Source organism: Homo sapiens, chromosome X (assembly GCF_000001405.40).
Source record: "Homo sapiens chromosome X, GRCh38.p14 Primary Assembly".
NCBI classification, from domain to species: Eukaryota; Metazoa; Chordata; class Mammalia; order Primates; family Hominidae; genus Homo; species Homo sapiens.
In genome coordinates, this window is record NC_000023.11 from 106,032,012 (window position 1) to 106,054,765 (window position 22,754).

Genomic DNA, 22,754 nt, shown 5'->3' on the forward strand with positions numbered 1-22,754 from the left:
ATACCAGCCCACTGTCTGGTGTTGACCAACATGATTGAAACAACTAATATTTACAGGGCTTTTTATCAGGTCTCAGGCTCTGTGATGAGCATATTACATGCTACCTGCTTTGCAACATTGAAGGTTCACAAAATCCCAATGACATGGATATTCTTATTGTTCCCATTTTACAGATGAAGAAAATAAGGTACAGGGTTTAAGTGCCTTGTCCAAGATCACCAAACACTAAGTAGCAGGGCCAGGATTGTAATGTAACTTTAGTGAAACACAACTCCATGTTAACAATGAATTTTTGTACCAGAGATTCTGCTCTGGGCTTCAAAAATTGCTTACACAAAAGCAAAGTGTGAACTATACCAGGAATAAACAAACTTCCATGCAAATGGGTCTAATCAGAAAAAATTAGAATGTTTGTAATACACATGCTTTTCTAAACATAAATATTTATTTCAATATGGAAGTACAACATCTGCAACAGTACTTATGCATTTTTTTTACTATTTTCCTGTCACTGAAGTGTTTTACCTCAGGGCTAGAATTTCAGATACTACATCATTACCACTCACTGTGCCATTTATACTCAAGCTTTAAATACATAGTGTCTGAAATAAAATCTAGTTTGGTAGGTGGTAATGAGTTGGCATGTACAGGTAGAGGGAAGGTTGTTGAAGGATCTGGGGATACAAAAGTACCAATATTCAGTGAAATTAGAGCCAAAAAGGAGATTCCTACTTAAACAAGTGGGACAGGGGTGCTATATATGGAAAGGAGTCTGATTGGGATACAGAAAAAGAGGGTCTATGAGATATGACATGAATGAATTACTTTCTTTCTCCACTCCCAGCTTATACATTGGCAAGGTGGAAGTATGTTTTCTTGGGGGGAAGGTGGGGTTGGACAGGCAAGTTTATCTCTTGCTGTATTGTCCCATGCTTGTTCAGTAACTTGTTCAGTTGTCTCAGTCTGTAACTCATCCCCATAGTGGGAGTTCCTTTATTCAACCTACCAGTGTCAGATCTGGCAAGAACTCAGAGAATCCTACTAATGGGACAGTGGGAAGGGGGTTGAGAAGTTCACATATAAGACAATGCATCTGCATTGTTTTATGTCCATTGATCTTATTGGAGTACTGGGATACGAAGACCTGACCTGCTTTTTAGCTATTCCCCAGAAGACAGAAAAGGGAAAATTTTTCAACCCAGTCAAATTTATTAGAGCAAATGAGTTGAGGGGTATTCTGACAAAGAGAAATATACAAACATAGAGCCTTCCTATGCTTTGGATAATAATGAATTACTCATTGACATTCTGAATGCTCTGCCATAGGATTGGCCTCTTCCACAGCCAACAAAGTTCAGCCAGGGTTCAATCTTCATCCCATCATAAGGGAATGCAAGTCCAAGCTCACATCAATCACACCAGGCTATATTATTTATTTATTTCCCATTGCAATACACACGTGCAATTAGCCAATGGCCTTTTTCCCAACTACGCTTCCGTTGGGTTCACAACTTTCCCTAGAAAGAGAATACTCCTTGTGCTTCTCTCCAAAATCAACAACATGAAAGATCTATCAATTTGGATAATAGGGTGTAGGAAAGTGTTTTCAGGCTGATCCGAAAGTTCAACTTCAGGGACAGCTGCAGCTTCAGTTCCCTTTTCACCAATGTGCAGCACAGCCTTATGGGCAGCCTGTGTGGGGAGAACAAATCCTGCGGGTCTCTGAAGAAACAGGAACAGTCTTTGGGAAGGTCTAGAAGTAAGAAAGGGAAAGGAAAGGTGGGGCCGCCCCTTTGCTATACTATGTTGATGGTGCTAGAATATGAAGTTTCCTCTGCTAAATGTAGTCAATCATTCTCTGGCGATTCTACGGCTAGCCATTGGGAAACACCTCATTCACTATGGCCTGCTGCCGCCAGGAGTCACCTCTTAAGCATTCCCTCCTCACACCTCCTTCAGAACTGCATCTCACCAGAGTCACTTCTGATCATTAAGCTGTTCTATCAGAGTAATTCTGGGACATAAAGGTCAAGGATGGAAGAAACTGATACAATTACTTATTTGGAGTAATGGGAATGACTCTGGAGTGATTCTAGCTTAGGAGGAGTCACACCGCCTCTCTAGGCATCAGATTGCTAATTGGTAAAATAAGAAAGTTGAATCAATTGACTCCTAATTGCTCTTCCAGTTCATACATTTAAGAACTCTAGTTTATCAACTTACATTGGAAAGTTTCAGACCATTGTCCTCTGTGAGTCCAGAAAAATCAGCATTTTCAGAATAGGCATGCTGAATGCCCATCTTCAAAAGTGTGGCTCCAAGGTCATATGTGGCAGAAATGGAAAACTTTGGAACAAACAAGTCAACCCATCTGTGGGAAAAGAGGAAGGGAACACATGGCAATCACCATATCAAGCTTATGATTCTCTCCTTCTCTCTCTCATGATGGTATTATATTGGACTCTGCTTCTTCCCTGAGTATTGATAACCATTACTATGTAAGTCAATACATGGCACCAAACTCACAGAAGTTATTCTGAAAGGAATGCACTCAGGTACAGCCAATGTTGGACTGAAGCACTGGGAGTAGGGAGATGTAACTCCTTTATAATCAAGAGAAAATATCCCTGAGGTGACGACCAAGGTTGGGGAGCTAGTGGCATGAAGGTTAATGGGTAGCACCCAGGAGCTTCACAGTTTTCTGCCTTGCACTTCCAGTACAGAGTGGCTGCCCAATCACCTTTCAACATCAAAATCCAACCTGTTCTTTGAGCTCTAGTTGGTCTACAGGAAGCCATCAATTTACTAATAGGCTGACTTTGGGGAGCTCATCTTATCTTTCAAGACCAGACTTCCTAATTTGAAAAATGCCAATTATACTGCCTCCTTTGTAGGTTTGTTGATGTGCTTGGATGATATGAAGTATGTAGAATGCCCAGCCAAGGGCCTGGTAGACAGTATTTTCTTGGCATATTCTAGTGATCATACATAGCTGTTGGGTAGTTCAGGGTGATTCTTCTGCCTCTGGGTTTCTGCTGAACTCTGTCTCACCTGCACTTTTATGCCCACCTTCCACCCACACATCCTCTAAGGCATTTACCCCTTCTGTAGTAAGCGGTTCCACTTCTTCAGTGTTTTAGATGACATGGCAGCTTCCACTGACTCCATCTGTCCCTCCTTGGGAAGAACAAAGAGTGCCAGAGCATTCTTGCTGTAGTCCATTTGCAGAACTGTGCAGTTCAATTCCATATCCACTAGGTGATAGTATTGTTCCATCTGGTGCATCATGGGCACTTGAACAGTGGTGGTCTTGTCTATTAAGAAGCTGGAACTGTCTTCTGTCTTGGATGGATCAAAAGGATTTGCCCACTGGGCTTAAAATACAAAGAAAAGAGAGGTGTTTATTTTAAACCGGTATCAGTACCAACAAGACCTTTTCCATTAGTGATTTCATTTAGAAATTAAGATCACCACAGAGTTAGGTACCTACAGTCAACCAGTTTTACAAGTGACTGAGGATCAGGCAGAGAAAGTCATTTGTCATGGTCTCCCAGTTAACAGGTGGCAGAGCCAGGAATCATACCCAGGGCTGTTGGGCTCCACAGTCTGTATTCAAAACTACTATACCACACTAAGCCCATCAGAGCCATAGTTTCCTCTTCCATAAAAAGGTATAACGACATCCAACACACTAGGGAGAAGTGAGAAAACAGATCTGTTCTGCAATTTTAGCCAATCTATCTATGTGTGGTTTGTGGCCGACAATTGATTACTCCTCCAAGAAATGTGGCTGACATATACTATAGAACCAGGAGAAATCATTTGAGCACAGTACCTTTAGGAAATAGTCACATGATTCTTGTTTCTACAAGCACCAGCTTTAGACTCACACAGACCTTGTTGGTAATATCAGTTCTAAAACTTATTAACTGTGTAAACTTGGACACTTATGAGTATTGATTGAGACAGTGTGTGTATACCACACATGTCAGATGGTGTTTAGTACACAGTGAGTGCATAATACATGGTAAAATTATGTATGTAACATGCCTAAGTATGTACAGCAAGTGAGAATCACAGTAGGCTTTACATACAAATATGTCTACTTGACAAGTGCAAGCTTGTCCCACCTCACCAAATCTTTTGGAAACCATGAATCTTTAGCCAATTATGAGCAAGATGTTCATACCATTGTCACCCACCTCTCTGAAAGGGCGCTCTCCCTAGAAATTTCCTGGACTCATTCACAGAGCTGTGTGTCCATCTTGGAAGATCCAATACTATTCACAGCTATGTCCAGTGGAGCAGATCACTGTGGTATGAGGGACACCTACTGATGCCAGTAATAAGAGACCATGAGCTCCCCTCAGCACTCCACCCAAGTATCTGAGCCCTAGACTGAAAATTGACATCTGAAAGTCTTACCTTTAAAGTGAATATAGTTCACTAAGACCATGATGGTGTTTGGCTTGAGGTCTTGAATTAGACCCACAACTTTCCCTTTGGTTTGCATCTCCACATGACTGTTAATCTCCTGCTTGGCTGCAGAAATGTTGGAGAAGTCGGTAGAAAAGACTTCAGTCTCATAGAGGGTCTTGACATCATTCAAGAACTTTGCCAGTGGTTTCAGATGCTTGCCAATGAAGAGGGCATTTCCTATCTGCAATTCCAGTTCCTTCTTTGGAAAATTCAGTGAACAGATCAGATGCTGGAAGCCATGCTGGATCTCTACCATTGGAGTGTCTGTGAGGTTGAACCCCAAGGTCTCCACAATCTCAGTTTGGGTGCTGCAGCAGGCCCCAAAGGAAAGCATAACCAAAGCTGCAGAAATGCTCACAGGGGAAAAGAAGATGTTCTTATCTGGGGTCTCCACAGTGAACCTCCGGTACAGATTGAATGCAAAGTCAGCATTAATGGATGACATCTTGTAGAGAGTGGCATTTGGTTGGGATGAATGGCAGGCTGTTACTTTGCCTTCAGGTGATGCACAGTGGATTGTAGCATGAAGCCCAAGTACCAAGAGAACCAGATACAGGAATGGTGACATTTTGGAAGGAAGTTAATCTATAAGAGATGAAGTGAGACAACCACTGAGGGAGCTTAGTTGGATGAAACACTCCCTGAGCCAGAGACACATAATAACCACCCACATTGATTAATAAAACAATAGTAAATATTTGATGATGTGCTCATCAGGGGCTGAGCAGGGGTTTCTCTCCCTTGAAAAACAGGAGATGCATCTAATATGGACAGGGAGTAGGAGAAGTGGCTTGCTGCAACCACGGAAATAATGCCATGGACTGTCATTCAGATGTTATAGCAACATTATGAAAACGCTGTGAGTAAATTAAATTTATGGAAATTGAATCACTTTTTTTCTGAACTAGAGGCAGCCTTTTGGAGAGAGGGGATATTCTTAGGTTAAACTAGTACTCCCTCTGTATACATTATTCATTGTAGATTAGAATTTTAGATTTTTTTTTTCATCTGGCATTTTCTTAAGATAAAATCTATGAGATGAGAGAACACTCGCATCTTATTTGGCTAAAAGACAAAATGAAAGTAATTTGTACAATATATGATTAGTTGGAATGGATGGGTGGTGGTTTATGGAGCCACGTACAAGGTCATGAGCTGAAATTCATGCATTTTGCAATGCATGGAAGCCATAGAGGTATTTTCGAACAACCAGAAAATGAAAGAATAATTTTCTAAATTTTACATTTCTTTCACCATTAATCTTAGTAACATCTAAACAGTCATTTCTAAGTTGTAAGACATCTTAACACTATTATTCTTACACCTATGCATGTTACTTTTAATTATTATAAAGAAAGCCAGAAAGATAAGGTGTAAGGTTCTCTGATCCTGAAAGAGTGCAAAGAAATGGAGTAAAGAAGTCAGGTGTGGAAATCCAATGAAAGTGGACATGTGTGCTTAGAAGGAAGAGGTCTATGAACTCAGAAAAAGGATCCTTCCTCCACCCTCCATCTTCTTCCTGAGTGATCTTACCCTCCGCACTCAATTGCTAGAAACTGTATCTCTCTCAGATTGCTCTCCTGAGCTCCTAGCCATTTATCCAGCTTTCTTTTGGATATAACCACCAGGATGGTCCACACAGACCTCAGTCTCAATAAGAAAATCTCAAAGTTGCCAGATGTAAACATATCATCTCCCTACACCTTAAGCTTGCTCCCTCATCTTCATTCCACATCTCAGTTTATCACATCACTGTCTATAGAGACACCTAAGCCAGATACCTGGGAATAATCATAGCCTCCTTTTATTCTCATTCCCCATATCTAATGAAGCATGATGTCTTATGAATACTAACTCTTAAATAACTCTCAAAACTTCTCCCTTCTCTTCATTCCTGCTGCCTCTGCCTCTCAGTTCATGGCCTGAGCTACTATATCAGCTCCTAACAGATCACACCATCTCCTATATCCTCCATACCAACCCCCTTTGTTCACCACTCTATCCAATCTCCATATCATCATCAGAGTCCTCTTTCTTTAAAAGTCACTGAGGCTGGTAGAAAGTCAATTATTAGATGACCACACTTAGACCTTCACCCCTAGAGCCAGGAATTTGGTTTGGGACTCTGACTTGCCAACTTGGTTATTTGGGACTCTGACTTGCTGATAGAGATGTTCAAAGTTTCCAAAGAGAAAAAAAGTACTTACAGCAAATGCCCAAGAATCCACCTGCATCTCTCAGAAAGCAACATCTTTCCATTTTTATAGCATGTCCTGTATTGCAAAACTAGAGCACTCTTAGTTATAAATTAACCCCAGCATTAACCCTGGGATGGTATTTTCAAAGCTGATGTACAAAACCAAGGCCAAGAGGAACAAAGCAAAAAATGATAAGGTTTGAACTTTGAGTGATTGCTTTGGCTGCCAGACCCTTCATGTAAAACAAAAGAGAAAGAGGATTGTCAGAGCTGGAGGGGTTTAAGTCCATGCTGGCAAGAGTGTCTTCAGCAGGCAGAATAGGGGCCATAGGCAAAAGCACCAAGAGGCAGCAGGAAAAAGTTCTCACTATTGGGCCAAACAGCAGTGGAATTGGCAGTTTTTTAAGGGAAAGTTGTACAAAAGCAGAGGCTGGGTGATCCTTTCTAATAGGTTCTGTAGAAATTATACATGCATTCGCAGAGGAAATGATGTCAAAGGTAGCTTCCAGCCCTAGACTTCTGATGCTGCAAACATATATGTCTGCTAAGGGGGAAACCAGCCCTGTCTTCTCGTCATTAAAATTCCCTGTACCGTCCCCTGGCCACAGGACTCCAAAAGAGGATGCAGAAGGAGTCAAGGAGACTGAAATTAAAGATTCCACTGTCCAGTATTAATTGTGTACTGATTATATGCAAAGAAGCAATGGGAACAAAAAGAACTGGACTCAGTCAGGAGACTTGAGTTCAACCTGCTTCTGAAAGTTTCCAGCTCTAGTAGTAGTAGTAGTAGCAGTAGTAGCAGTAGCAGTAGCAGCAACAGCAACTCCTGCTTCTGAGTATTTACTACAGGCATGTGAAGCATTTTACTACAGACATTTTGTGAAGCATCAGATTCCAGACCCTGCCAGCTTCAGTACTACATTAAGAATCTATGTGTTAATTTGTAGTGGGAGGGGAGGCAGGGAATGAGGAGCTAGTTCGAACTAAGCCTAGATGCAGTCTATGGTAGGACTTATAATCCAGGACAAATAGTACTGACTTTACCTTGAGGGCACTGGGAAGCCACTGGGGGATAGACAGAGGGTGACTCTGTGTACCATTATTTCTTCTTAACAAAACATAGACTAAGCTCCCACTGTGTGGAAAGAACCACAGTCAGCACTGAGGTTTCAGAGCTGGTTGGTAAATATCAGTCCTGAACCCAAGAGGTCTTTCTAACTACCTGACACCCGCTGCCCATATTGAAGAAGGCACACCTCACAAATGTGATGGTCACTAGTACATGTGTCCTAAAGAAAGGGAGTGACAAGCTCAAGTCTCTAGACTGCGAGGTTAGTCCATGTAATATAACACATTGCTCTCTCAGCTACAGCAAGTCCCTGCAGAGAAAACAGCAAAAGACTGTGTAAAAAGAAAACTTCCAAACCTGTGCCCTCTGGTGGCATAGTCAGACAATGGCACAGGTTGTTTTCTGCTGCTTCTGATTCAGCTGAGCTTTGCTAGCAGGGCTTATCTCCGACATAAGAGAAAGGTACCCTTCCCTCTGCAGACTCCCTTGCCCTGTGCTCTGGCATCACAGGCATTAGACCTGTGCCCCTGCCATGTCTCTATGTTGTAACTGTGTAATTTGGGACAAGTTACCTAGTATCCTTGAACCTCAGTTTTCTCACCTCTAAAGTGGAAATAATAATGATTCCCATGTCATGTGGTTATTGAGAGTATAAAATGAAATTTAGAGGTGGTGTCCAGAAGCTCCTATAATAGTGCCCCGTACAAAGTGGGGATCCAGAAACAGATAATTCTCTTCCCTTTCTTCTGTTATCATATATTCCCTCACCTCAAGTCTCCATATTCCCTGGGCTTTATCTCTACCCCCTACTGCTGTTCATTTCTGCTTTCTGCTAATACATTCTCCTTCAGATGCAATTGATTGAGAAGGTGTAAGATCTTGCAAACTTATATTTATCACAATAATTTCAGTCTTGTGTAAAGCTGCTAGAGTAGCACATTGAATAAAGACTCTCTAGGAAGTTTTACCATATCAATAAATTCAATCAGATCTAAAATTATATATCTCCTTTTTTGAATGAACACCCTCATAATTATTCCCACACAAATTTTATTTTAGAAATGTTCAACGTTCCACAGTTCTTTCAGTTTGTAAACACTTTTCTCATTGTTTTGATATTTGATCCTCCACCCTAGTCTGGAGAGAAATGATGGGATCTTACTCTGCTTACAGGTCTGGAGACAACAATAGTTGTGAGATGGTGGCATTAGGAAAATTGGCTTCTTTTTGCAATTTAAGTCTCACGGGCAAGGAAATTACCGGGTGTGTAAGCAAAGGAGAAACAGCTGCATTGGACAAAGAGAAAGACTGCTTTTGCTGGCAAGAGAGGCTCAGTGGGGATTTGGAGTTGAGGTTCTTTTAACTCTCTCAACTGTCCTATTCTTGAATTTTTACTCTTTGCATTTCAGTGACTAATTTCGACAAAACCGACATCAATGTTGAGAAATCAACAAATTCTGTAATTTGGTAATACACAGGATCAAATGGCAAGCATAGGATTTGGCTAACTTAGCTCTCCAGAAATTATATTTACATGTTCCCTGTCTTCCATATATTCCTGGAGCACTTGAGCCAAGAAATTAGGCTTCTGAGCAAGAATTTAGGCTTCTTTTTTAAAGCTTTCTAGTGCCATCATAAGCATCCACTTCACCTCACAATCTATTAACTACTTACATTTTTCAGACTTCTCTATGGCAGCAATGAGGTCTTCTAAAGCCAGGCCTTCCAAAGGCTTTACATTTTAGAGAACCACTTAATTAAATGATATGCTCTTTCATTTCATGGGCTGCCATATTCCCCTTATAGAACACAAATGGAGTTTTCAACTACCTTTAGCCCTAATGGGGCAGAAAATCAACTTCAAAATTCCCCAATTTCCTTAAATTTTGTTGCATGAAACCTAATTTCTGTTATCAATGTCTGTATTAGTTATAGTACTTGGATCTAAATAACAGTAACTGCTGTTGCTAACCTTAAAATAAAAGACACTTATTGAAGGATATACATTTACCCAAAATGAAAAGGAATGCCAAAGAAACTTGCTCATTTTGTATGGAGAAAAACATGGGGACAGAGGTATGAATTTATCCCACTTCATAGACAATGGTTAATAGTTTGGCTGGAAGTCCTTTGGAAAGGACATGATTATAAAATAAGTGATAAACAAGTGTAGGGAAGAGGTATATGTGGCTATCTCTGCAAATGGGCATATGATATAAAGATATTCAGGTTTCATGTGAATACTCACCAAAGAACAACCTCAGCAGAGAAGTTTAATAATCAGGGGGATAAGATGATGCATTCTGTGGATTTCAGGCAGCCTCTTTCCCAGACACTCTTGTCTTTGTTTGATGTGTTCATGAAGAAAGTGGTCATACCAGCCAGGATGAAGCTTGTGAGTGGGCTCAGAATCATGGACCTCCATGCACCAAAGTCAATTTGGCTACAACTTCAGCGGATACCAAAACTAAGATTCCAATATGGCATTATTCCTCAGAAGGACTTGCAAGCTACATGTTTTGAACTTGATTACATTGGACCACTTCCATCTTGGAAGGGGTATTGTTTTGTTCTCACAAGAATACACAATGACTCTAAATGTGACATTACCACTTCGCCTGCAAAGCTTGTGCCAAAACTACCATCTGAGGATTTACTGGCTGCCTTATCTACCATCATGGTATTTTATACAGAGTCCCTTCTGGTCCAACAACTGATCTCATACCAGAGTGTGGCAATGTGCCAACTCATAAAATTCACTGACCTTACCATGTTACCTATCACCCTGAAGCAGCTGGCCAATCGAGAGTGGAATGCCTTTGATGACTCAGTTACAGAGCCAGCTAGATGATATTTTGCAGGGTTGGCCCATGTCCTCTGTAATGTGGTATATGTTTTAAGTTAGTGTCCAAAATGTGGTGCTGATTCTCCCATAGCCAGGAATCCTAGGTTAGGGAATCAAGGAATGACATTAATTTTAGATCTACTCATTATTTCCCTACTGATCCACTAGTAAAATTACTTTTCTCATCCCTGTAACTTAGGTCGTCCTGATTTAGAGGCCTTAATTCGAATGGTTGAATGATTCCACCACAGGTTGCAGCAATGCTTCTAATGAATTTATAGCTGAGATTGACATCTGGTGACTTTGAGTACTTGTGCCACTGAATAAATAGCAAAATAAGGGGGCTACAGTACTTACTGTTATGGTAGATCTTGAATATCAAGAAGAAATTGCATTGCTACACATAATGAGGATCTGTAATGCAGGTGTTCCCCATGGATGTCTCTTAGTACTTCCATATTCTGTGACTAAAGTCAATGGAAAATTATAGCAACCCATACAAACAGGACTTTTAATGGCTCAGACACTCGAGAAATGAAGATTGGGTCACATCTCCAGTCGAGGAAGCTCAACCAGGTAAGGTGCTTGTTGAGGGCAAAGGCAATATGGAATGGGTTAATGGAAGAAGGTAGTTAAGGAAGAAAGTTGTTAAAAACATCAATTTTGATCTTCTGGCTAGTTGCAAAACCCAATACTACAATAGTTAGGAGTACTTCCTTATGTTGATATCAAGATATCTGTGTTTATATTAATCATTTTGCTTCCACCTTCCTATTCCTCTATTCCTTCCTATTTACATAAGATGTGTTAATTGTAATTAATTTTATATGACAGTATCCAAGTTACTGGATGTCAAAGAGGACTCAAAGGAATAAGGAATGTCAGCCAAAGATGGATAAAGGGACTGTATTAGACCATTCAGGCTGCCACAACAAAATACCATAACCTGGTGGCTTAATAAACAACAGGAATTTATTTCTTACAGTTCTAAAGGCTGAAGAGGCCAAGGTCAAGGTGCCAACAAATTCAGTGTTTGGTAAGAAAATGCTTTCTGGTGCATAGAGGGTGCTCATTTTGCTGTGTCCTCACATGGTAGAAAGGATGAAAGCTCACTCTTGGACTTCTTTTATAAGAGCACTAATACCATTTTTGAAGGCTATGTCCCTGACCTAATAACCTTTCGAAGGCCCCACCTCCTAATATCTTGCATTTTCTTTATTATAAATCCCTTATTTCAGACAGAGGGAGAGAGAGAGAGAGAGAGAGAGAGAGTAAAGGAAGCTCTCAGACAACAAGTGCATTTTGAGGAGAGTAAAGTGAAAACTGTGCTCCCAATTCAGAGGTCTTTAGCCTATCTTTTGAAATCCACCTTAAGTTCTCCTTCTCTCTTTCCTGAGAAAAGCTCACCCACTGAGATCCTTCCTGATTCTTTCAGCTACACAATTTTTTTTAGTCAATGTATTACATGTAAAGATGCTTAAATCATGGATCCATTTCATATTCAGCATTTCCCCCCAGCTTTGATCCCCTTATTTCTAGAGACTGTGGCACCCACTTCTCAGTCTGACCATGTTTGTGATCAAGAGCTGGGTAGGGGGATAGAGACAAGCTGAAATGATCCTTTCAGTATCCCTCTACTTGGGGGTATTGAGTTCCTCTGTGGCTGGTTAATTAACCTTAAGTTGTTAAGCTGCCCCAGAAGCTGGATAAGAAAAAAGGAATACAGCCTCAAATGCAAATTGAACGTCATAAAATCTTAGTTTGAGGCTTGACTCCACCACTAACTAGCATGACATTTGGCAAGCCAGTTATCTGCTCTGGTCCTCGGTTTCTCCATTTGAAAAAGCATGGGCTTAGATGACATCTCTAAGGCACATTCCTGCTCTGGCATTCTGAGAGAATCTAAAATTTTTCTCTCGTGTGCCCTCCCATTATAGAAAATGCAAAGGAGTGCATAGCCACAAACCAGGGATGAGGAGAAGAATTATTCAACAAATAGTGTTGTGTGTTAATTATTTTTTTTAAATCATCTGAGATTTCAATCTTATACCAAGTGCCAATGTTAATTCCAGATGCATAAAGGAGTTGAATGGAAAAGTTCAGAAAACTTCCAAATAAGAAGAAAATATAAAATAAGATATATTTTACCTTTTGATAATTTGGAAGTTTATAAATAAAGGAAATGAACACATTAAAAAAACTGTTTATAGATTTTGAAACATAAAATTGAAAAACTGTGTACTTAGATATATTAATATTTTTAGCATGTAAAAAACAAACCAGGAGAAATATTTGTTAGGCAAGTGGTGAATAGCCTAAATACAATCCTATGTCATCCTATTTCAAACCTTGACTAAAGAGAAGGCATGAATTCTTAACACAGTTATCCAGGGAATAATTGCTTAAACCCCATGTACATGGGAAAAATTGATTGCTCCAAAGTCAAATTAGAAGATTCATTCTGAAGGCCTGAGAGACTAATCAGTAACTTCTCTCCAATAAATAAACAATGAGATTGTGAAAGAAAATGAAGTAAGTAAGGCTAAATCTTTCTAAAGAGGGGTCAAGAAATCCTTTTGAGAGGAATGCACACTCACACCTGCTAAAGGTCAACCACGGAATGTTCCAATAGACTTGGATAAGCAACAGAAGTCAGTATTAGGCTTTTGACATCTCTCAGCTGGGAGTACTCTAATTAATTAACTAGTCGAAAGGGGCTAATTTAGGATATAGGATTTCTGACTAGCCAATGAACTGCCTCCAAAAAAAACTTTTTGTGGAAATCCCCTGTTAAAAAAAAATCTTCTCCTGTCCTTGCCTTATGTGATACTATTATTATTCAGGGCTTCCCTGATTCCAAGTATCTGAGTTACACTTCTTTGTCTCCAAAATAAATGCTATTTATTTTCACCTCCGTGTCAGTCTTTTTTTTTTCTTTAAAGTTAACATAGCTAATGTCAGAAGTGGAACTCAAAATGATCTTATGTTGGAGTAGATTGGCATTTTCTGGAACAGAGCTCCTTGTGCTCTCTGCTTTCTTGAATTGCAGGCACCCTCTCTCATAAATCTTCTCAGGCTCCTACCTCCTTCCCTTTGGTTGAGGTCAGCACCTTTATTTGGGAATTTGAGGATGGTTGTTCCATTTGTGGAAGCAAAATGTGAGTTTTCCTATTGATGAGTATTATCTTAAGTGTGATATTCTTTAATTCTAAATCTCATAATGATTTTCCTTCTTCTGGGACTCCAGCTGGTAATATGTCCAAAAATTATGGGCCCTCCTCTTGTATTTATTTGGAACAGTGCACATTATATACAAAAGATACATTAGAACTGCAGTGGCCAAATTGAGGTTCCTTTGATATGTCAAAACGAGGTTTTCTCCAAACTAAATTAGAAGACTATGGTTCTAAAACAAAACAACCTGAATGTGGTGCATATTTTAATGGGCATTTAGAGGCATCCGAATGCATTCAGGACTCTAAAACTGCCTGTCTCCAAAACAGTCTGTAAACTCACTAATAAAAAATGGAAAGAGAAGGAAATTGTCCTTGAGACTCAAGTTTCTTCCACCAAATCTCATTCCCCGACTCTTTCTGTTCCCCTGTTTTTATATCATACACTTGCTGAACTTCCCTTTTATTCTTATGATCCCAAAGTTTCCCTTGATTCCCTAAATTTATTCTTTCAAACTCTGCCCAAATAATGAGGGCACTCTCTTAAACATTTCATATGTATTCTGAACAAAAGCCGAATTTAGGGCTATGGCTAAAGATTTCCTCAAGGTTACTGAGGACTGTCATAAATTAGCTGAAGAATTTTAAATTCTTATCTAAACTGATGAAACTGATTTCTCTACTATTTGCCAATTAACACTCATTGGAGAAGGTCAAGCACACATTGGATGGCTAAAGCAGGCTGAAACAATCCTCTTATGGGCCTCCAATTCAGTATATTCTCCAACAGAGGAAAACGTCCAAGAAAGAGCCAAAATTTTCTAGTAAGTTATTTCTTTAGCATTCCCTAAACCAGTAGATTGTAACAAGATTCAGGCTTGCACCCAAAATGAAGGTGAGGCTGTACATGATTATTCCCATAGATTTGAAATAGTTTTCAAGGAAAACTCTGGACTTGACTCAGATACCAAATCTACCAAAGTGGCTTTTAATTCTGTATTCATAAATGGCTTAGATAAAGATCTTGTAATTCTAGTTAAAGGGACTCAATTTATTTGGGAAATAATGTTCACCTCTGATTTAGTTAACCTGGTCAACCAATTAGCCCAAACAATTTCTAAGACAAATAAATAAAAAAGAAAATAATGAATCTACAGTAATTTTCAACCCCCATAATAAAACATGGCAGTCTAACATTAGGAATCCAAATCTTAAAGGGGTCTTCCACCAAAGCAAAAAGACCTGGACATTGATGAAAATATTGTGTACAATTAAAACATGCCAAAGGATACCTTAATAAACTGCCCTCCATGTTCCTTATGGATTGAGGGTGTTCTGAGAAAACACATGAGATCTTTCAGATCTTGCCTCTTAATCACTTGAGTGAAACTTCCCTAATGATTGGAGAGGAAGGTTTCACTGTCCTTATTGACACTGAAGCCACCCTTTCTGTGGTTAGCCCCACCAGCCTCAAGCAACCATTCCTTGGAGTACTGAAAAAATGCAAATTGTGGGAGTTTCTAATACGTCTTTAACAATTTACAAATATTTACCCTTGATTTTTCAAATAGGTCCTCTCCAGGATAGTCATTCTTTTTTAATAGTTCCCTTAGTCACAGTTTACTTACTTAGAAAAGATTTCTTAGAAAAATATCATGCTGTCATTTTCTTTCCCAAAAGGGGGAGATAATTCTTGAAATTGACTCAACCCCTGCTTTAACTGACAAGAGTAAAAATTATTCAACATCCTTGCACATTTTTGCCTTTAGCCTTAATAACAAAAATGCTGAGTGTTAAGTCTTTTAAAAGAGGTTCCTAAGCAACTTTGGGCTAAATCCACAACAGACAATGGACATACCCACCTGGCTCCCCAAATAGAGATTCAAATTGACCCAAACAAGCCTGTTACTAATATCAGAAAAAACCCCATAAGCCCTTAAACTTTTGTAGGAATTAAACAAATAATAGAAGAACACAAAGCAAAAAAAAAAAAAAAAAAAAAATCATCGTGCCTTGCACTAGCCCCTGAAATAACTCCTATCCTTCCTGTGAAGAAACCTCATGAATGAAGATGGAAATTTATACAAGACCTAAAAGCTATTAATAACATTGTCATTCCTTGACATCCTGCCTTTTCAAACTTCTAAACCCTCCTAACTTCCATTCCCACAGAAAGTAAATTTTTTACAGTGATAGACCTTCGTAGTGCATTTTTATAGCATTACTGTGGACCCTGAGAGTTAATTTTTATTTGCCTTCACATGGGAAGGACAACAATATATCTGGACAGTAATGCCTCAAAAGCATACTGAAAGACCCTCTTACTTTTCATAAATACTATAAGCAGATTTAGCAGTCATACCCCGAGGATCGACTCTCTTGCAGTATGTTGATGACCTTCTTTTTTCCTCTTCTAAACAGGCTTGTGAACATGATAATGTTCATCTTCTTAAACTTGTAGCAGACAAAAGCCTAACGTTTCCAGAGAAAAACTCCAATTTACTCAGGTTCATGTCAAATATTTAGGACACTTGACATCAAACCAGTGACTACTCTTAGATCCTTAGAGCATTTTAAACTTTCCTCAACCTCAGATTGAGAAAATAATGAGGGTTTGGGGGCCTGGCAATGTACTGTCAAAACTGGATATCTGATTTTTCTTTGATAACTCAACCCTTAATGCTCTTCTGAAATTTAACAAACCAGCATCCCAGGACTGGGAAGATAATGTCTGTATAGGCTTCTATCAATAAAAGGACTTCTAAGTCTTCCTGCCACAGTACCATAAATGCCAATTATGAGCTCTTTCTTTCTTTCCTTCTTTCTTTCTTTCTTTCTTTCTTTCTTTCTTTCTTTCTTTCTTCTTTCTTTTTCATGAAAGAGAAGGAAATGAATTGGGGATCCTTATACAAAAAAATGTAGATCAACACAGGGCTGTTATTGCAAGCAATTACATTCCATAGCTAAGGGATTCCTTCCCTTCATGAGAGTGATAACAGCCTCCATGGCTTTAACTAAATCTGTAGAAGAGATAGTCATGGGCTCTCCTCTCATTACCCACATTCTGTTCCTTATGCTGTAGAAGCCTTACTGAACTTTCATCATGCTTAACATCTTTCTGCAAGCAGACTCACTTCTTAAGAGATCTTGCTGCTTCCTTTCTCCTCATGTAATTCTTTCTCATTGCAACAACTTTAATCCAGCAACCCTTCTTACCATACCTGATAAGGGGATACCTCATGACTGTCTAAATCTAATTGGCCAGCCACTCAAACCTGGAGGTGATTTACAAAAAAATTCCTATACTAAATGGAGAACTATTATAGTTTACTGATGGATCCTATGTAACAGATGATGAAGGAAAATATCATGCTGGATATGCTATTACTACCCTTTTAAAAATGATCAACTTATTTTATATAGCTTTCTTGAAACTCTTGGTTTTTGACTTCTACTGCCTTGCACAAAAGAAATGCCTTGAATTATATCTTGGCTGAGCAAGGAGGTGTTTGCACTGTGGCCAATAACTCCTGTTACACTTAAATAAATACTTCTAACAAAGTAGAACCTGAATTGAACAAAATCCATGCACATGCTAATTAGCTAAGTAGAGTACCCACCATATGTTTGCCTTTTTTTAAATCTCTTCAACTGACTAACCTCTAAAGTCAGAAAGTAAGTAAAATCCAGTCTTCAACTCTTGTTACTCACTGTGTGGTTGTTGTTGCTATTATTGTAATATGTAAGTTACCTATGATACTCCTTACCCAATATTTCTTAGAAATAACAACCAAAGTAACAGTCATTTAGAAGATCAACATGGTCAATCATGCATATTATTGAAAAAACACCTCCCCTCTGATAACTTTTTTAGGTCCTAAACAGGCTTGATTCCTCTCCTCTCATAACCACTTTGTTACTCAAATGTGGTGACAAGGGACAAAATCAGACTTGTCAATTGATCTGTGAGTGTCTGGAGAAAAATCATGATTAAAAAGCAGAAATCTGAAAGAAAATGAAGTAATTAAGGCTAAGGCTTTCTAAAGTGGAGTCGGGAGATTTTGAGAGGATTGCACTCACACATGCTAAAGGTCAACCACAGAATATTCCAATAGACTTGGATAAACAACTGAAGTCAGTATCCACCAGACTCCAATATTTCTCAGCAGGGTGTACCAAATTAACCAATCAGAATGGGTTAGCAATTTAGGATTTCTGTCTAGCCAATGAACAGCCTCTAAAATCACCTTCTTTTGAAAATCCCCTGAAAAAAAAAAGCTCTCCTGTGCTTGTCTTATGGGACACTATTCAGGGCTTCCCTGATTCAGGGTACAGGAATTGCAATTCTTCATCTTCCAAATAAATGTTATTTCCTTTGATCTCTGTGTCAATCATTTTTTTTAGTTAACAGGACAAAAATATTGATATAATTTATACATGTATATCATATCAAACTATGAAAAGTGCTTACATATGCATTATCTCATTTGATTGTCAGAATAACCTTGTGAGGTAGCTAGGATTTGTTTCCCTAACTTGACAATTGAGAATACCGAGTCCTGAACATAGATGCAAAAATCCTCAACAAAATACTAGCAAACCAAATACAACAACACATTAAAAGATCATTCCTAATTATCAAGTGGAATTTATCCCAGGGATGCAAGTTTGATTTATCATACTCAAATCAATAATTGTGATACATCACATTAACAGAATCAAGGAAAATAACCATAAATAACCATATGATCATTTCAATAGATGCAGAAAAAGCATTCAATAATATCCAACGTCCCTGCATGATAAACTCTTAACAAATTAAGTATAGAAGGAACAACCTCAACACAACAAAGGCTATATATGACAAACCCACAACAAAAATCATACTGAATGGAGAAAGTTTGAAACTTTTCCTCTGAGATTTGGAACAACACAAGAATGGCCACTTTCCCCACTTTTATTCAACATAGTACTGGAAGTCCTAGCCATAGCAATTAGGCAACAGAAAAAAATAAAGGGCATCCAAATTAGTGAGGAGGAAGTGAAATTGTCCACTTTCAGCTGATATGATCATAGATTTTAAAAAATCCTAAAGACTTCACAAAAAAACTCTTGGAACTAATGAATTCATTAAAGTTGTGAGATATAAAATCAGACATACAAAAATCAGTAGCATTTTTGTGTCCAGAAAAGAAATCAAGAAAGCAATCCCGTTTATAATAGCAACAAAGGACATAAAACACCTAGGAATCAATTTAACCAAAGAGGTGAAGTATCTCTACAATGAGAACTATAAAATATTGATGAAACAAATTGAAGACACAAATAAATGGAAAAATGTCCTGTATTCATGGATTAGAAAAATAAATATCATTAAAATGTCTACATTATCCAAAACTATCTAAAGATTCAATGAAATCCATATCAAAATACCAATGACATTCTTTACAAAAATAGAAAAAAATTCTAAAATTTGTATGGAACCACAAAAGACTCCAAACAGCCAAAGCAGTCCTGAGTAAAGAGAACAAAACTGGGGGTATCACATTACTTGACTTCAAAATATACAGTACAAAGCTATAATAACTAAAACTGCATGGCACAGGCATAAAAACATACACATAAACCAGTGGAATAGAATAGAGAACCCAGAAATAAATCCATGCATTTACAGCCAACTGATATCAAAAAAGGTGCCAAGAACACAGATTGGGGAAAAAACAGTCTCTTCAATAAATGGTGCTGGGAGAATTGGTATCCACATGCAGAATAATGAAATTAGACTTGTGTCTCTCACCATATACAAAAATCAAAATGAATTAAAGACTTAAATTTAAGACCTGAAGCAATGAAATTACTAGAAAAAAAATTAAGGAAATGCTTCAGGAAATTTTTTTAGGTAAAACCTTAAATCACAGGCTAAAAAGCAAAACTAAACACATGGGATTACATCAAACTAAAAAATGCTTTTGCACATGAAATGAAACAACAGAGTGAAAAAGCAATCTACAAAATTTGAGAAAATATTTTTAAACTATGCATCCAACAAAGAATATCCAGAATATATAAGAAACTCAATAGCAAATAATAATAACAATAATTTGATTTTAAAATAGGCAAAATACCTGAACAGACATTTCTCAATAGAAGACGCATAAATTTCCAGCAGGTATATGTCAAAATGCTCAGTATCACTAATCATCAAAGATATGCAAACAAAAACCACAATGAGCTATCGCCTCACCCGAATTAGAATGGCTATTATCCAAAAAGACACACACACAAAAAAAAACCCACACACGCTGGCGTGGATGCAGAGAAAGGGGAACTTATACACTCTTCCTGGGAATGTAAATTAGTATAGCTGTTATGGAAAACAGTATGAAGATTCTTCAAAAAAAATTAAAAATAGAACTATCATACGATCCAGCATTTCCACTGGTGAGTATATATCTAGAGGAATTGACATCAGCATGGGGAAGAGCTATCTGCAATCTCATGTTCACAATAGCCAACATATGGGACCAACTTAAGTGTCCATCAATGGATGAATGGATTGAAAAATATGGTATACACATGTTCTCACTTGTCAGTGGTGTTGCAGGGCAGGCAAGCCCCAAAACTGGGACTTAGCCCATGAGAGTTCTTGGCTTCACCCAGGAAAGAATTCAAGGGTGAGCTGATGATGTTAAGCAGCAACTTTCATTGAAGCAGCAGTGTACAGCAGCAGCAGAAGTATTGTTCCTTGCAGAGCAGGGCTACCCCACAGACAGTGTGCCCAGAGTAGCAGCTCCAAGGATCTCTGCAGTCATATTTATACCCACATTTAATTATATGCAAATTAAGGTAAGGATTATGCAGAAATTTCTGGAAAAAGGATGATAACTTCCAGGTGGTCGGGTTGTTGCCATGGAAAGGGATGGTAACTTCTGGATGTTGCCAGGGTAATGATAAACTGACATGACACACTAGTGGGCATGTCTTATGGAAAGCTGCTTCTGCCCTGTCCCTGTTTTAGCTAGTCCTCAACTTGGTCCGGTGTCTCAGCCCTGTCTCCAGAGTTGAGTTCCACCTCTGGAGTTGAGTTCCATCTCCTACCTCATTGGGAGCTAAGTATTGAGTACACATGGGCACAAAGAAGAGAACAACAGACCCTGGGGCTTACTTGAGGGTAGAGGGAGGGAAGAGAGTGAAGATCAAAAATCTACCTATTGGATACTACAATTATTACCTGGGTGGTGACATAATTTGTATACCAAACCCCTGTGACATGCAATTTACCTGCATCTGTACCCCTACACCTAAAATAAACATTTAAAAAATGTAATATGTAAACACAATATATTACTGTTCAGCTATAAAAAATAATAAAATTCTGTCATTTGCAGCAATATGGATGAACCTTGAGGACAGAATGTTTACTAAAATCAGGCAGAGAAAGACAAATACCACATGATTTCCCTCAAATATGGAATCTAAAAAGTTTGATCTCATAGAAGCAGAGAGTAGAACGGTAGTTACCAGAGGCTGCAGAAGGAAGGGGGATAGGGAGTGGTTGGTAAATGGGAACAAAGTTACAGTTAGATAGAAAGAATAAATTGTTGTGTTCTATTACATAATAGAGTGACTATAGCTAATAACAATGTATTATTTATTTCAAGATAGCTAGAAAAGAGGACATTGAAAGGTATCACCATGAAGAAATGATAAAGGTGTGCGGTGAGGGACATGTCAACTACCCTGATTTGATCACCATGCAATGTATACATATATTGAAACATCACAATGTAGCCTATAAACATGTACAATTATGTCTGAGTTATAAACAAAGAAAAACCGTGAAGCCTAGAAATGATAAGTGACACACTAAGGTCCTATCAAGGAGCAAGTGATAAAACCAACTCTAGACTACAGATTGGGATTCTGATTCAGTTTTGATGTTTTTATGAAGAGATTGAATTAGAAATTTTCTACACTTCCTTTCAGATTTAAAGCAATAATTTACGATTATTCCATGCTTCCTTCTTTAGGTGGGACCAGTGGCAAAATTGAAAACAATGCAAATTTGGTGGGAGTGATGAAAGGAATGTATTGGTATTACTTTTCTGAGATGTAATATTAAGTCATTTGTCATACTATGCTTTTGCAAAGAGCATTTTCAGAGTTAGAAAACATTTTCCTTTTCTGAATAAGCATGAACTAGTGTTTGATGTCTCCTGTGAAAGGAAAATAAATCTTTGGGCCCCCAAATCACTAAGCTAAAGGGAAAAGTCAAGCTGGGAACTGCATAGGGCCAAACTGCCTCCCATTCTATTCAAAGTCACCCTGCTGCTCACTGAGATAAATGCGTATCTGATTGCCTCCTTTGGAGAGGCTAATCAGAAACTCAAAAGAATGCAACCATTTGTCTCTTATCTACCTATGACCTGGAAGCCCCCTCTCTGTTTTGAGTTGTCCTGCCTTCAGCTCGAGCTGTCCCACCTTTCCGGACTGAACCAATGTACATCTTACACATATCGATTGATGTCTCATGTCCCCCTAAAATGTGTAAAACCAAGTTGTGCCCCTACCACCTTGGGCACATGTCATCAGGACCTCCTGAGGCTGTGTCCTGGGCACCTGTCCTCAGCCTTGGAAGATTAAACTTTCTAAATTAACTGAGACCTGCCTCAGATATTTGGGGTTCACATCTTCGTAACCATGGAAGGATTCTGAATGGAGATGTTCCTGACCTTTGACAAATCTCCTATTGGTGCTTGGTACCAGCATGAGCTAACTTTATGGCTCAAACCAATAGGACAATTTGCTGAGGTCTGGGAGGGCCCCATCCAGAGAATCTCTAATCTCCCAAAATTTGGATGAGATCTAAAGTTTATTTTGCTGTACAACTCCCCTTCTTTTTGGAGTTCTACATGCTTTCAACAAGGAAGGCAAGATTTCCTGCTTTCATAATGATGGAAGGCAAATAACTCCTTTATGGAGTTTGAGCTC

General features: G+C 38.6%; 1 protein-coding gene across 3 annotated transcripts; it reads right to left on the reverse strand.

Annotated features, from left to right (window-relative positions):
• On the reverse strand, window positions 424-6,716 carry SERPINA7 (serpin family A member 7). Of its 3 annotated transcripts, none has more exons than NM_000354.6 (5): window positions 6,687-6,716; window positions 4,426-5,064; window positions 3,101-3,374; window positions 2,224-2,371; window positions 424-1,692 (listed from the first exon to the last, which is right to left on the reverse strand). In NM_000354.6, the coding sequence occupies exons 2-5, from the start codon at window positions 5,045-5,047 to the stop codon at window positions 1,489-1,491; spliced, it is 1,248 nt and encodes a 415-aa protein (NP_000345.2). In that variant the 5' UTR covers window positions 5,048-5,064; window positions 6,687-6,716; the 3' UTR covers window positions 424-1,488. The 3 variants fall into 3 exon arrangements, with proteins under 3 accessions (NP_000345.2, XP_006724746.1, XP_005262237.1); XM_006724683.3 differs by having other exon boundaries at window positions 1,419-1,722; XM_005262180.5 differs by having other exon boundaries at window positions 1,419-1,753.